This window comes from Homo sapiens, chromosome 9 (assembly GCF_000001405.40).
Source record: "Homo sapiens chromosome 9, GRCh38.p14 Primary Assembly".
Lineage (NCBI taxonomy): Eukaryota > Metazoa > Chordata > Mammalia > Primates > Hominidae > Homo > Homo sapiens.
Genome location: NC_000009.12, coordinates 36,425,440 through 36,439,899, shown reverse-complemented (window position 1 = coordinate 36,439,899; position 14,460 = coordinate 36,425,440). Strand labels below are relative to the sequence as shown.

Sequence of the window (14,460 nt, the reverse complement as noted above, 5' to 3'; positions counted from 1 at the left end):
AAATGTTCTCAGTTACAAATTATGCCAGACAAATTTGTGGTGATTTGGAGAAAGGAGATTGGTACTGTTAGCATTTTCTATTGATAAGTTTTTTTTTTTTTTTTTTTTTGAGACAGAGTCTCACTGTGCTGCCCAGGCTGGAGTACAGTGATATAATCTCGGCTCACTACAACCTCCACCTCCCAGGTTCAAGCGATTTCTCTAGTAGCTGGGACTAAAGGTGTGTGCCACCATGCCCGGCTAATTTTTGTGTTTTTAGTAGAGACGGGGTTTTGCCATGTTGGTCAGGCTAGTCTTTAACTCCTGACCTCTAGTGATCCTCCCACCTCAGCCTCCCGAAGTGCTGGGATTACAGACTTGAGCTACCATGCCTGGCTATTTTCGATTGATATAGGAATAACCACTTATTAACCATTTTCTGTGCCACAGTGCTGTGTTCTTTACATACGTCATATAAGCTTCGCAACAACCTTGTATCATAGGTGTCACACCTCTTTGAAGGTAAGGAAAAAAAAATGAGGGTCACTTGTTCAAGATCTAAGGTTTCACAGCTAACGAATAGAAGGACAAGGATTAAAACTCAAGCCTGTCTTACTGCAAAATCTTTTTCTTTTTCACATCTCACATCTAGGTCTACATATACTATTAGCAAGTAAAGTGTTTTTCCTGCCAGTGATGTTAGAATTAGCTTGAATATAATTTTTGTATTTTAAAAATCACTTCTTGTGATGTTAGAATTAGCTAGAATATAATTTTTGTGTTCTATTTCAATAAATCACTTCTTGTTTATTTGAATTCAATAGTCCCCTCCCACCCCGCCCTCATTGCTTTTCATGCATAGCTCTATTCTGCATAGATTTGAAGTATGATAATATGAGGTGGCCCCTGTGGCTTATTTTAACCTCTTCTTCTAGTTTGTGAGAGTAGAGAGCACTTAATATAAATGTGTGTTTAGCAGTACTCAAGGCTGAGAGAAATCTCTGATAATAGTTCCTAAGCTCTCATGTCCATGTTGTAAAATATTTTGCCCCATGTATTGTTTGCCCTTCTCTAGGCCCCTAGCTCTCTAAGGTAGTGAGAGGAGGAGAGAGGACATCTCTTCCCGAGCAGGGGAAGATGTCAAGTCTCTCACCTATTCAGCTGGGTAAGAGGAGATTCTTTCTTTCAGGTAGAAATACCATTGTCATCCCACTCCCTTTTTAGCTTTGTATAAGTAAATGCCTGAGTGTGCTAACCTATCTAGGTCTTTTGTTCAGCACCGTGAAGCTTTGCTATTGTAGACAAAAACACTGAATGTACTGAAACTCTTCTGCTTGTAAGTGTGTATTGGGATAAGGTGTGGAGGGAGGAATCTTGAATATTTTAGAACAGGGTTGTCCAATCTTTTGGCTTCCCTGGGCCACATTGGAAGAAGAAGAATTGTCTTGGGGCACACATAAAATACACTAACACTAACGATTGCTGATGAGCTTAAAAAAAATCACAAAAAAAGTCTCTTAATGTTTTAAGAAAGTTTATGAATTTGTGTTGGGCTGCATTCAAAGCCTTCCTGGGCTGCATGCAGCCCATGGGTCACGGGTTGGACAAGCTTATTTAGAGTATCGGATCTACCTTTTGAGAATCTTGGACTACTTTGAAGGTCTGATAAAAAGCAACACCCTTGGCTGGACATGGTGGCTCACTCCTGTAATCCCAGCACTTCGGGAAACTGAGATGGGAGGATCTCTTGAGCCCAGAAGTTGGGAGACCAGCCTGGGCAACATAGACCCTGTCTCTGCAAAAAATAAAAAATTAGCTGAGCCTGGTAGCACACACTTGTAGTCCCAGCTACTCGAGAGGCTGAGGCTGGAAGACTGAGCCCAGGAGGTTGAGGCTGCAGTGAGCTGTGATTGCGCCACTGCACTGCATCGTGGGGCTACAGAGTGAGACTCAGTGTCAAAGAACCCAAAACAACCAACATCCTCTACAGAAAAATGGTACATTTATGCCTACAAACCTTTTTGTAAAATTTCTTAGGCTTCACAGACTCCTGCCTAAGAATTAGCATTGGCTGCTATATCATTCTTCTTCCTCCTCTTTTAAGACCTACCTCTTAAGACTTTTCCTGTGTCTTTAATAGACTCACTGAATTGCCTTTGCACTTACAGTCTGAAGTAAACCATCTTGACAAGTTACTTTAGGGTTATTAGCTGACATGTAGGTTTTGTTTCCCTTCCTAAGTTGAAAACTGCTTAAAGGTAAGGACCATATTTTGTTGATTTTTGTCCTCCTTGCCAGCACCTAGCTCAGCCTGTCAGCTAGTAGTATTGATTTGTCTGCGCCTCTTCTTTTTTTTTTTTTTTTTCAACCTTGCTCCTTCTATAAATTTGTCTGATCTGACTTTTCTTCTTCGGTTTTTAGAATGTTGTCCTTAGAAAGCTTTGAGCTCAGGTGAAAATGATTTGTTTCCTAGATGGAGGGTAACATTTTACAACCAATGATGTGGGACTAATTTTAGGTGAGATACCCAGTAACTATAACTGACCAAGCTATGTAGATTTTTCCTCTTGAGTTGATTTACTTATATTTAGGCTCACTTGCATCATCTTCATAAAGAACCAAGAGTTAATGAGAAGATATTTTAATTGTAAGATATGTTGAGACAAAACCAAATACATTGTATGACTGGTCTGATGTTGGTTGGGGAGGGGCATCTTTGATAGTAAGATTGACACATGAATTCTCTCCCTGGTCCTGCCTTGCTCAGCTGCAGTGCCAGGAGCAAGCGTGAAGGAAAGGGCTGGAAAGGGCTGGCCGCCTGCCACTGCAGCCCAAGTGGCCTTGTTAAGCAGCCACTCATCATATCCTATTTGCCTCCTCAAATGTTTATCTGCATAGGAATAGCTAAGAGGGAAAAAGGAAGAGTCTGACCTTTGGCTTCTCTGGTGGTAGAAAACTGCCTTCTCTGTTTTAGAACTAGGAAGTCAGAAAACAGCTTTCAAAGATTACCAACCCTGGTTGCCATGGCAAAACTAAAGGATGGATGATTATCCATTTTATATTATACTTATGTTCCCATTCTTTTTTTTTTTTTTTTTTTTTGAGGAGTCTCGCTCTGTCGCCCGTGCTGGAGTGCAGTGGTGCTATCTGGGCTCACGCAAGCTCCACCTCCCGGGTCCACGCCATTCTCCTCCCTCAGCCTCCCAAGTAGCTGGGACTACAGGCGCCTGCCACCACGCCCGGCTAATGTTTTGTATTTTTAGTAGAGAAGGGGTTTCACCTTGTTAGCCAGGATGGTCTCAATCTCCTGACCTCATGATCCGCCTGCCTTGGCCTCCCAAAGTGCTGGGATTACAGGTGTGAGCCACTGCGCCCAGCTACGATTTTAAGTGTTTCTTACTATTGCGTCTGTAAGTTATATATTTTCCACAAATAATAGAAGGAAAATTGGTATAAATGAATCTAATATGATAATCTAGACTATGCTATATGAGTCTGTCATTACTATTTTAATAATAGGCAGTTATCTTTCAGAAAAGGAGCTGAATGGCTAAGCTCTTTCTAAACTGAATTGAGGTCTCTTCTTGTTTGGATTATCACTGTTTAATGTCAGCTTTCCCATTGAGATCATTTGACTTCCCTAGATATTTTTTAATGTACTTTCTCAGTATTTTACTTTTCTACCCACTCTTTACATTCTTGGCATCTCCCTTACCAAAACATCCTTTTACAACTTAATTTTGATAAAAGCCTAATTTGAATGAAAGATTTATCTATAAACTTGTTTACACAACTGTGAATATACACGCAGAGTCTATCCTTAATATTAAGTGCCTGTAGCCTCATATAGGAAGCTTAACATTTAAATGAATTGTTTTGCCATTTTGAAACAAGTGCTTTTTTAGGAAGTAAAAATCTATAGGTTCTCATGGATACAAAAAGAGTTGCAAAGAACTGGATTAGGTTTGTGGTGTATAAAAACTCCATTCAGAGTCCGGGCGCGGTGGCTCACGCCTGTAATCCCAGCACTTTGGGAGGCTGAGGCGGGCGGATCACGAGGTCAGGATATCGAGACCATCCTGGCTAACACCGTGAAACCCTGTCTCTATGAAAAATACGAAAAATTAGCCGGGCGTCGTGGCAGGCACCAGTGGTCCCAGCTACTCGGGAGGCTGAGGCAGGAGAATGACGTGAACCCGGGAGGCGGAGCTTGCAGGGAGCCGAGATCGCGCCACTGCACTCCAGCCACTCCAGCCTGGGCGACAGAGCGAGACTCCATCTCAAAAAAAAAAAAAAACCTCCATTCACTAAGGCCAAGGCACGTTCAGTGTCTTTGAACATTTAAGAACCAGTACTGATCATTAACTATTGTTTTTTCAAATTCAGTTTCTCCCTCTAAATGATGCCTGTTATTCAAACAACTATATTGACTTCACAGAATAATATAAATTATTAGAGTAAATTTCTACTTAATTTTTACTTTTTGTTTTGGAATACAAATAATTCTTAGGTATAGGTCACATCTCATTTAAAAATTACTACTCTCGTGTTTGCCTTGCATTTCAACTTGGCAACCTCAAGTATCTTTAACAATCTGCTTCATATTATAACCACTGTAATTTAGAGTAAGACCACTCTTTTCTAAAGTTTATTTTTTAAATAGGTAATATATTCGCATGGTTCAAAAATTTAAAAATAGGAAAAAGCATACAGTGAAAAGGCTTTCTTTGATGCCTGTCCTGCTTCGTTGTTCTCCCTAGACTTATAGAGACAGTGTGATCAGTTTCTATACATCTGTACCTCCGCCAGTCCCCACTTTTTTCCACAGTGGTGGCCCACTGTGCTGTTCCACACATTGCTTTGTTTCTGTGACAGTATATAGTGGAGCTTTTTCTTTATCAGTACATAAAGAGCTTCCTCTTCCCACCCACCCTCCACTTATAGTTGCAGAGTATTCTCTTATTGGTGGGCATTTAAGCCTTTAAAATAATTGATTTTACTCATTCTGTTGAGCAAATATTGATCACCTGCTATGTGCCAGGCACTATTCTTTCCACTTGGGATATAATGTATAAGGCAAGGGAATTTCCTGCCCTCATGGAGCCAGTTCTAATCTTGAGAGGCATGCAATAAACCGTGATGCATAATTTGTACACACATCAGTTTGAGGGCCAAGTATGTTTGTGAGATGTACTTTTAGGATTGGAATATCTGGTTTAAAAGTTACATGTAGGCTGGGCACGGTGGCTCATGCCTGTAATCCCAGCACTTTGGGAGGCTGAGATGGGCAGATCACCTGAGGTCAGGAGTTCGAGACCAGCCTGACCAACATGGAAAAACCCCATCTTTACTAAAAATACAAAATTAGCCAGGCATGCCTGGTGGCGCATGCGTGTAATCCCAGCTACCTGGGAGGTTAAGGCAGGAGAAATCGCTTGAACCCGGGAGGCGGAGGTTGTGGTGAGCCAAGATGGTGCCACTGCACTCCAGCCTGGGCAACAAGAGCAAAACTCCATCTCAAAAAATAAAAGTCCTTCCCCTCCTCCTCCCGTGCCCTCCCCATCCTCCTCCCCTGCCCTCCCCCTCCTCCTTCCCCCATCCCCCTCCCCCTCCTGCTCCTCTCCCCTCCCCTTCTCCCCTATCCCTTCCCCCCCTCCCCTCTCCCCTCCCCTCCCTTCCCCTTTCTCAGGCAGAGTCTCGCTCTGTCGGCAAGCTGGAGTGCAGTGGCACGATCTCAGCTCACTGTAATCTCCGCCTCCCAGGTTCAAGCCATTCTCCTGCCTCAGTCTCCCAAGTAGCTGGGATTATGGGCGCGTGCCACCACACCCAGCTAATTTTTGTATTTTTAGTAGAGATGGGGTTTCACCATGTTGGCTAGGATGGTCTCCATCTCCTTACCTTGTGATCCACCTGCCTTGGCCTCCCTAAGTCTGGAATTACAGGCATGAGCCACCGCGCCTGGCCTAAAAGTTATAAGTATTTTTCACTGAGTCAGTTAACTGCCAAATTACTCGTTTTAGAAGATGTACTACTTTATATATCTACTACTAGCAATGTTTGAGAGCCTGTTTTTTTATACCTTCTCCAATATAGTGTGTTATCAAACTTCTTGCTTTTTATTGATTTGGTGGGTGACAAGGTGTCATTTTTACTTTAATTTTTCTTTTGAGAAAAGTTTAACATTTGTATATGTCCAAAGTCATTTATATTTTCTTTCTTTTTTTTTTTTTTTTTGAGGCGAAGTCTCACTCTGTTTCCCAAGCTGGAGTGTAGTGGCACAGTCTCAGCTTACTACAACTTCCGCCTCCCAGGTTCAACCAGTTCTCCCGCCTCAGCCTCTGGAGTAGCTAGGATTACAGGTGTCCACCACGATGCCTGATCTCGAACTCCTGACCTCAAGTGATCTGCCCGTCTTGGCTTCCCAAAGTGCTGGGATTATAGGCATGAGCACTGTGCCTGGCCCTATGTTTTCTTTTTTAAAAATTTTTAAATTTTAATTTTTGTGGGTACCTAGTAGGTGTATATATTTATGGGGGTACATGAGATATTTTGATACAGGCATACAATGCCTAATAATCACATTAGGGTAAGGGGGGGGTATCCATCACCTCAAGCATTTATCCTTTGTGTTACAATCCAGTTATACTGTTTTTAGTTATTTTAGAATGTATAATTAAACTTATGTTGACTATAGTCACCCTGTTGTGCTGTCAGATACTAGATCTTACTCTTTTTTTTTTTGTACCCATTAACCATCCTTACTTCCCCCACCCAGCCCCTCCTCTACCCTCCCCAGCCTCTGGTAGCTATCATTCTTCTCTCTTATCTCCACTGTGAATATCAATCTTTTCTCTATACTAGAAATCACAGCAGCAATTTACCTTCTCATCTTATTTAATAGTTAGGGAAGATACTAGAGATTTCAGGTTTCTTAGCCTAGAGATTTGAATTCCTATAGGTACTAAATTGTAAAATAAGTGTGTTATGTTTAGTTATCATAAATGGTAATAGTGAAAATAATAGTTATAATAAATAGTAATTAATAGTGATGACTCATGCTTACCATATATGTAACTGGCATTTTCTCCTGAATGGCTGAAATAGTATTTCTTTGTTTTTTTGTTTTGTTTTTGTTGTTGTTTGTTTTTTGAGTCTCACTGTGTCACCAGGCTGGATCTCGGCTCACTGCAGCCTCCGCCTCCTGGGTTCAAGTGATTCTCCTGCCTCAGCCTCCCGAGTAGGTGGGACTGCAGGTGCCCACCACCACGCCCAGCTAATTTTTGTATTTTTAGTAGAGACGGGGTTTCACCATGTTGGCCAGGATGGTCTCAATCTCTTGACCTTGTGATCCGCCCGCCCGCCTCTGCCTCCCAAAGCGCTGGGATTACAGGCATGAGCCACTGCGCCTGGCCAATAGTATTTCTTTGAATTTTACCATTGACCCTTGTAAAATGGGAAGTTATGAGTGGATAAGAAAGTTAATATTTAGCTAGGCGCGGTGGCTTAACGCCTGTAATCCCAGCACTTTGGGATGCCAAAGGAGGTGGATCACGAGGTCTGGTGTTCCAGACCAGCCTGGCCAACACAGTGAAACCCCGTTTCCACTAAAAATACAAAAATTAGCCAGGCATAATGGCACACCCCTGTAATCCCAGCTACTTGGGAGGCTGAGGCAGGAGATTTACTTGAACCTGGGAGGCAGAGGTTGCAGTAAGACGAGATCGTGCCATTGCACTCCAGCCTGTGCAATAGAGTGAGACTCTGTCTCAAAAAAAAAACAAAAAAAACTTAATACCCAGATTAATATTAAGCCATGGGAGAATACGAAGGGAATTAGATTATTTATCTCACAACTCAAGGAGTGGACCACTGTGATAATGTGATATAATAAAAAATACATATTTGTTCTTCATCCCTAATTCCTGGCACAGAGGTCCTAAAACCCTAGGAATTTCCTGAGTGATTGGGGTGAGAGAAGCGTCTTAATTTGTAATTAGCTCCTTTCAGCTATACCTGAGTTTCTGCTAACGAAGTGAGTCTTGGTGGGCCCCTTGATAGCTTCTAGATGAGGGCTGGTGGTTGCCAAAGGAACCAGTCATGCAATTTGAGTGTTGGAACTTTCAACCCAGCATCCCTCCAGAGAGAGGAGAGGGGCTGAAGATTGAGTTCAGTTACCAATGGCCAATGATTTTTATCAGTCATGCCTACCTAAGGGAATCTCCATAGGAACCCTAAATAATAGAGTTTGGAGAGCTTCTGGGTTGGTGAAGACATTGAGGTGCTGGGAGGATGGTGTGCCTAAAAAGGGCATGGAAGCTCTGCCCATTCCCCTTTCCTCCATATCTTAACCCCATGTGCCTCTTTCATTAGCTGTTCATCTTTAACCTTTATAGTAAACCAGTAAACAAAAGTGCAGTCTTGTGCCACATAATGTGTTTTTGTCAAAGAGGGACTATGTATATGACTGGTCCCCTGAGATTATAATACTATATTTTTACTGTACCTTTTCTATGTTTAGATGTGTTTTGATACGCAAATACCATTGTGTTACAGTTGCCTACAGTATTCAGTACAGTAACGTGCTATACAGGTTTGTGCTCTAGGGGCAGTAGGTTATGCCCTGTTGTCTAAGTATACCATATAGCCTGACTCTCTGGTATGATGTTCGCACAACGATTCAGTTACCTAACCATGCATTTCTCAGAATGTATTCTCATCATTAAGCAATGCATGATTATAGATGTTTCCTTGAGTTTTATGAGCCATTGTAGCAAATTATTGAATCAGAAGAAGGGGTGTTGGGAACCTCTGATTTGTAGCCAAACTGACAAAAGTTGTGGTTAGCCTGAGGACCCACTACTTGCAATTGGCATCTGAAGTGGGAGGCAGTCTTGTGGGACTGAGCCCTTTACCTTTGGGGTCTACATTAACTATGGGTAGTTAGTGTTAGAATTATAGGATGTTCAAGTGATGTCCGTGGAGAACTGAAGGATTGCTTGGTGTGGACAACTCATAAATTGTGTGCCAGAAATGTTGTGAGAGTATAGAAAAGCCATGTTGATTTTTTTTTTTTTAATCCTCATTAGGGCCAGATTTTTGTTTGGATTCGGAATGTCTGAATTCTCTTTATCTCTCCTCAAGAAGAATAAGGAGATGCTCTGGAAATTGGAAACCGCACCCCCGCCGCCCGAAGTCCTCATATTTCCATTCAAATGGAAAAATACAAAGTAGAACCAGTCCTTTCACTACTAGCCTCTCATTAACACACAAGAAAATCAATCAAATCAGACATTTCCTTCTTGGTCCTCTTATATCTCCACACATATTCTTTCTTTCCTCTGGCTCTTTCTCTTCTTTTATCTCCTTCATTAACTACCTCTTTCCTCCAATACATTTCAGTATTTAAAAAATATTAAGGCCAGGCACAGTAGCTCTTGCCTGTAATCCCAGCACTTTGGGAGGCTGAGGTGGGTGCATCACCTGAGGTCAGGAGTTCAAGACCAGCCTGACGAACATGGCAAAACCCGTCTCTACTAAATACAAAAAATTAGCCAGGCGTGGTGGCGCATGCCTGTAATTCCAGCTACTCCGGAGTCTGAGGCAGGAGAATCGCTTGAACCCGGGAGGAGGAGGTTGTAGTGAGCTGAGATCGCGCCATTGCACTCCAGCCTGGGCAACAAGAGCGAAACTCTGTCTCAAAATTAATAATAATAATAATAATTCTTGGCCTTCTGCTTTTCTCTGATTACACCTTCTCTTTAGGAGGTCTTATCTATTTCTGGAATTTCAGTGACCATCCTCTTGATAAAAACACAAAATACTACATAATTATGTTGGAGGACTGGGTGAGAGTAGGGTAGGAGGGGTGGAATAGTTTAGTTATCTGATGATAGTATGCTAGAAATTCAATAAACAATTTATAAAATTAATAACCAAGAAATAGTCATATAAAGTATATTATAGTTGGCCCTCTATATCTGTAGGTTCCACATCCTTGGGTTTAGCCAACTGCATGGAAAATATCAGGAAAAATAAACAATAAAAACAACAATACTACAGTTAAAAAAATGAGTAAAACTGTAGTACAATTACTGTTTGTTAATTAATTAATTAATTTATTTTTTCTTGAGACGGAATCTTGCTCTGTTGCCCAGGCTGGAGTGCAGTGGCGTGATCTCAGCTCACTACAACCTCTGACTCCTGGGTACAAACAATTCTCCTGCCTCAGCCTCCCGAGTAGCTGGGATTACAGGTGCCCGCCACCATGCGTGGCTAATTTTTGTATTTTTAATAAAGGCAGGGTTTCATCTTGTTGGCCAGGCTGGTCTCAAACTGGCTGGTCTCAAACTCCTGACTTCATGATCCTCCCACCTCAGCCTCCCAAAGTGCTGGGATTACAGGCGTGAGCCACTGTGTCTTATATAGCATTACATTGTATTAGGTATTACAAGTAGTCTAGAGATGATTTAAAGTATATGAGAGGATTTACATAGGTTTTATGCAAATACTAAGCCATTTTATATAAAGGGCTTGAGCATCTGCAGAGTTTGGTATCCACTGGGGGTCCTGGGACCAAGCTCCCACAGATACGAGAGGACCATTGTCTTCAATACTGGAGGGAATGCCTGTAAGATTTGGGGAATATTTGCCTCTGGGAAGGGAGACTAGGGATAGAGAAGAAGGCAATGGGATTCTTTTTTCATCATAATCCATTTCATTCTTTTTTTACTTTTTAAGCTTATGTACACATGTTACTATTAAAATTTATTTAAAAGTTAGAGCATACGGGTATTTCACAGAATTATTGGCAAAGAAATGCATCTTTATAGAATTGGTTAAAGTAAAATTCATGAAGAGCAGGGACCTTGTGTTATTTATTCCTATGTTCCCAGTGTCTAGGGTAGACTTGACATGTAGCGAGGGCTTGATAAGTACTTACTTAATGAATTAAGCAATTGCAGAAATGAAATTTCTGGAGTGGGAGTGAGATTAGAGTCTTTAGGATGGCAGGCAAATGCTCTCTACTGGGCTGTAAGCTCCATGGAGCTAGGGGCCTTGCTTGCTTTTTGCTTTGTCTTGTGTACATATGTCTGGTACATACTGAGTAGATACTCAGTAAATGCTCAGGGCTGTCTTTAGAATGGACCTTTCAAGAAATATAGCCCTGAATGTAAGAAGAGAGGTCACTTCCCCCAGCTTTGTCTTGTTACATTTATTCAGTTGTCATATGCCCCTTGCTTCACTTGGTTGGTTTCTTTGTTAGGCCTAAGGTCAGAATAATGCTGTTACTCAAAGTCTTTATGTATTAAGTAAACTTTTTAAGTATGGCCTTCTTTGAACAAAACTTGATGTATGTTACGGAGATCATAAAGATGACCAAGGCTCAGTCTCTGACTCTAAAAACATGTGGTCGTGGTCCAGCAGGGGAAATTGAATTTATACGTGTATATATATATATATATATATGTAAACAATAGTTGTACTACAGTTTTATCCTTTTTTTTTTTTGAGACAGGGTCTTGCTCTGTTGCCCAGGCTGGAGTGCAGTGGCGTGATCTCATCCCACTGCAACCTCCACCTCCCGGGTTCAAGTAGTTCTGCCTCAGCATCCTGAGTAGCTGGGATTACAGGTGCGTGCCACCATGCCCAGCTAATTTTTTGTATTTTTAGTAGAGACAGGCTTTCACCGTGTTAGCCAGGATGGTCTCCATCTCCTGACCTTGTGATCCGCCTGCCTCCGCCTCCCAAAGTGCTGGGATTACAGGCATGAGCCACCGCGCCTGGCCTCATTTTTTTATTGTAGTATAAGGCCTGCCTTAGTCTCTTCAGGCTGCTGTAACAAATACCATAGTCTAGGTGGCTTATAAACAACAGAAATTTATTTCTCACAGTTTTAGGAGCTGAGAAATTTGTCTGGGTGCAGTGGCTAACGCCTGTAATCTCAGTACTTTGGGAGGCCAATGTGAGCGGATCACCTGAGGTCGGGAGTTTGAGACCAGCCTGACCAACATGGAGATACCCTGTCTCTACTAAAAATACAAAATTAGCCAGGCATGGTGGTACATACTTGTAATCCCAGCTACTCGGGAGGCTGAGACAGGATAATCGCTTGAACCCGGGAGGTGGAGGTTGCAGTGAGCCAAGATCGCACCACTACCCTCCAGTGTGGGCAACAAGAGTGAAACTCATCTCAAATAAATTAATAGATAGGTAGGTAGATAGATAGATAGATAGATAGATAGATAGATAGATAGATAGATAGAGGCTGGGAAATTCAAGATCAAGGAACCCAGATTCATTATGGCGAGGGCCTGCTTCCTGGTACATAGAGAGTGCCTTTTTGCTGTGTCCTCACAAGGCAAAAGGGTGAGGGATTCTTTGGGATTGAATTTATAAGGATACTGATCCTATTCATGAGCTCTCTGCCTTCATAACCCAATCACCTTCCAAACACCCCACCTCCGAATACCCTTACATTTGGGGTTAGGTTTCAACATAGGAATTTTGATAACAAGGGCTAAGCAGCTTGTACAGGAGAAAGGAGGAAGAGGTCATTAAATCTCATTGGGGTCTGTAGGTGGAGGGACTGATGGAAGTGTAGACTAGGAAAGGGAGGGAGAAATCAGGAAGGCTTCATTTCCTTTCTTCCCCTTTTCCTTTTTATCTTTTAAAAACTCTTTCTTTTATTTCTTTTCTCTCATGCTTTGCTTTTGCAATTACTTAGTACTTGCCATGAGTCAGGAAATGTGCTGCATGCTGGAAGATGAAAAGATAAATTAGGGAGCCTATTATGTGGCTGGAGAGACAGACATGTTATCTCTTCCCCTTCCTCCTCAAAAAATGAGGGCAATGAAACAGCTCTAGCAAAAAAAATTGAGGACTTAGGCAGTGTCTCACAGGTAAATCACAGCCTTGATGTGAATAGAAGTGTTAATTGTAGTACCATTTCTTGAATTGCTGTGTGCCAGGCACTGTGCTATGAGCTTTTTCATACATCTAACTTTAATATCTCTCAGAACAGCTCTGTAGATTACCTACATATAAGTAGATAATAATATTCTAATTTTACAGATGAGGGAGGCATATGATTTGTTAAGTGACTTACCTAAGTTCACATAGTCTGTAAATTCCTGAATTGTATTGAAGTCTGACTCCAAAGTCATTCTACTCAAAAAATGCCAGAGGAACTGTAATATATTGCTGGTGGAATTATAAACGATGCCGTCAGTTTGGAAAACAGTTTGGCAGTTCCTCAAAAGGTTGAATAGAGAGATCAAGTGACCCAACAAGAGAAATGAAAATAAACGTTCACACAAAAACTTATAAATGGATGTCAAAACAGCATTAGTCTTAATATTTCCAGAGTGAAACAAAATGTGGTATATCCATATACTGGAATATTATTTAGCCATAGAAAGGAATGGATTGGTACGCGGTTCAGTGTGGATGAACCTTGCAAACATTATGGTAGGTGAATGAACCTGATTACAAAGACCACATGTTTTATGATTCTGTTTATATGAAATGTCCAGAATTGGCAAATACACAGAAGTTGGAGTGGTGGTTGTCAGTGGCTCAGGGAAGAGATAAATGGGCTTGAGGTTTCTTTTTAGGGTGGTGAAAATGTCCTAAAATTGTGATGATGGTTGTACAACTTTGTGAATATACTAAAAAAAAAAAATTGAATTGTATACTTTAAATAATAGATAATTGTGTAGTATGTGAATTGTGTCTAATTTTGTTTAAAACAAGACAAAACAAAACAAATCCGATTCTGAAAGAGAATTTTCTGCTCTACATATCTGGAAGTATCAGTAAGCTCTTACTGTAATAGTAAATAAGCAGGTGATCCTCACTTACAGTCTTCAGCCTCATGTTACTTAACATCTTCCCAACATTAATAATATCTTAAAATGTACTGTCTGAGGCCAGGTGGGTGGCTCACGCCTGCAATCCTAGCACTTTGGGAGGCAGAGGCAGGCAGATCATGAGGTCAGGAGTTCAAGACCAGCCTGACCAACATGGCGAAACCCCGTCTCTACTAAAAATACAAAAATTAACTGGGCGTGGTGGCGTGTGCCTGTGATCCCAGCTACTCAGGAGGGGTTTTGTTAGCCTTTGGTCCACAGTCGTGTGCTTTTTATTTATGACTTAATGTTTAATATCTTCTTTCAGAAGGTTTTTCTTATTCCAAGATTATTTTCATTTTCATTTTCATTTTTTTTTGAAACAGGGTCTCACTCATGCAGGCTGGAGTGCAGTGGCATGATCTTGGTTGGCTCACTGCAACCTCTTGTTTCCCGGGTTTAAGTGATTCTCCTTCCTCAGCCTCCCTATTAGCTGGGATTACAGGGGTGCGCCACCACGCGTGGCTAATTTTTGTATTTTTAGTAGAGACAGGGTTTCACCATGTTGGCCAGCTTGGTCTCAAATTCCTAACCTCGGGTGATCCACCCGCCCTGGCCTCCCAAAGTGCTGGGA

General features: G+C 41.6%; 1 protein-coding gene across 8 annotated transcripts in view; it reads left to right on the top strand.

Moving 5' to 3' along the window:
* The window catches only part of RNF38 (ring finger protein 38), a 151,270-nt gene that overhangs the window by 47,770 nt on the left and 89,040 nt on the right, over positions 1–14,460 (top strand). The gene's annotated exons all lie outside the window — the stretch shown is intronic.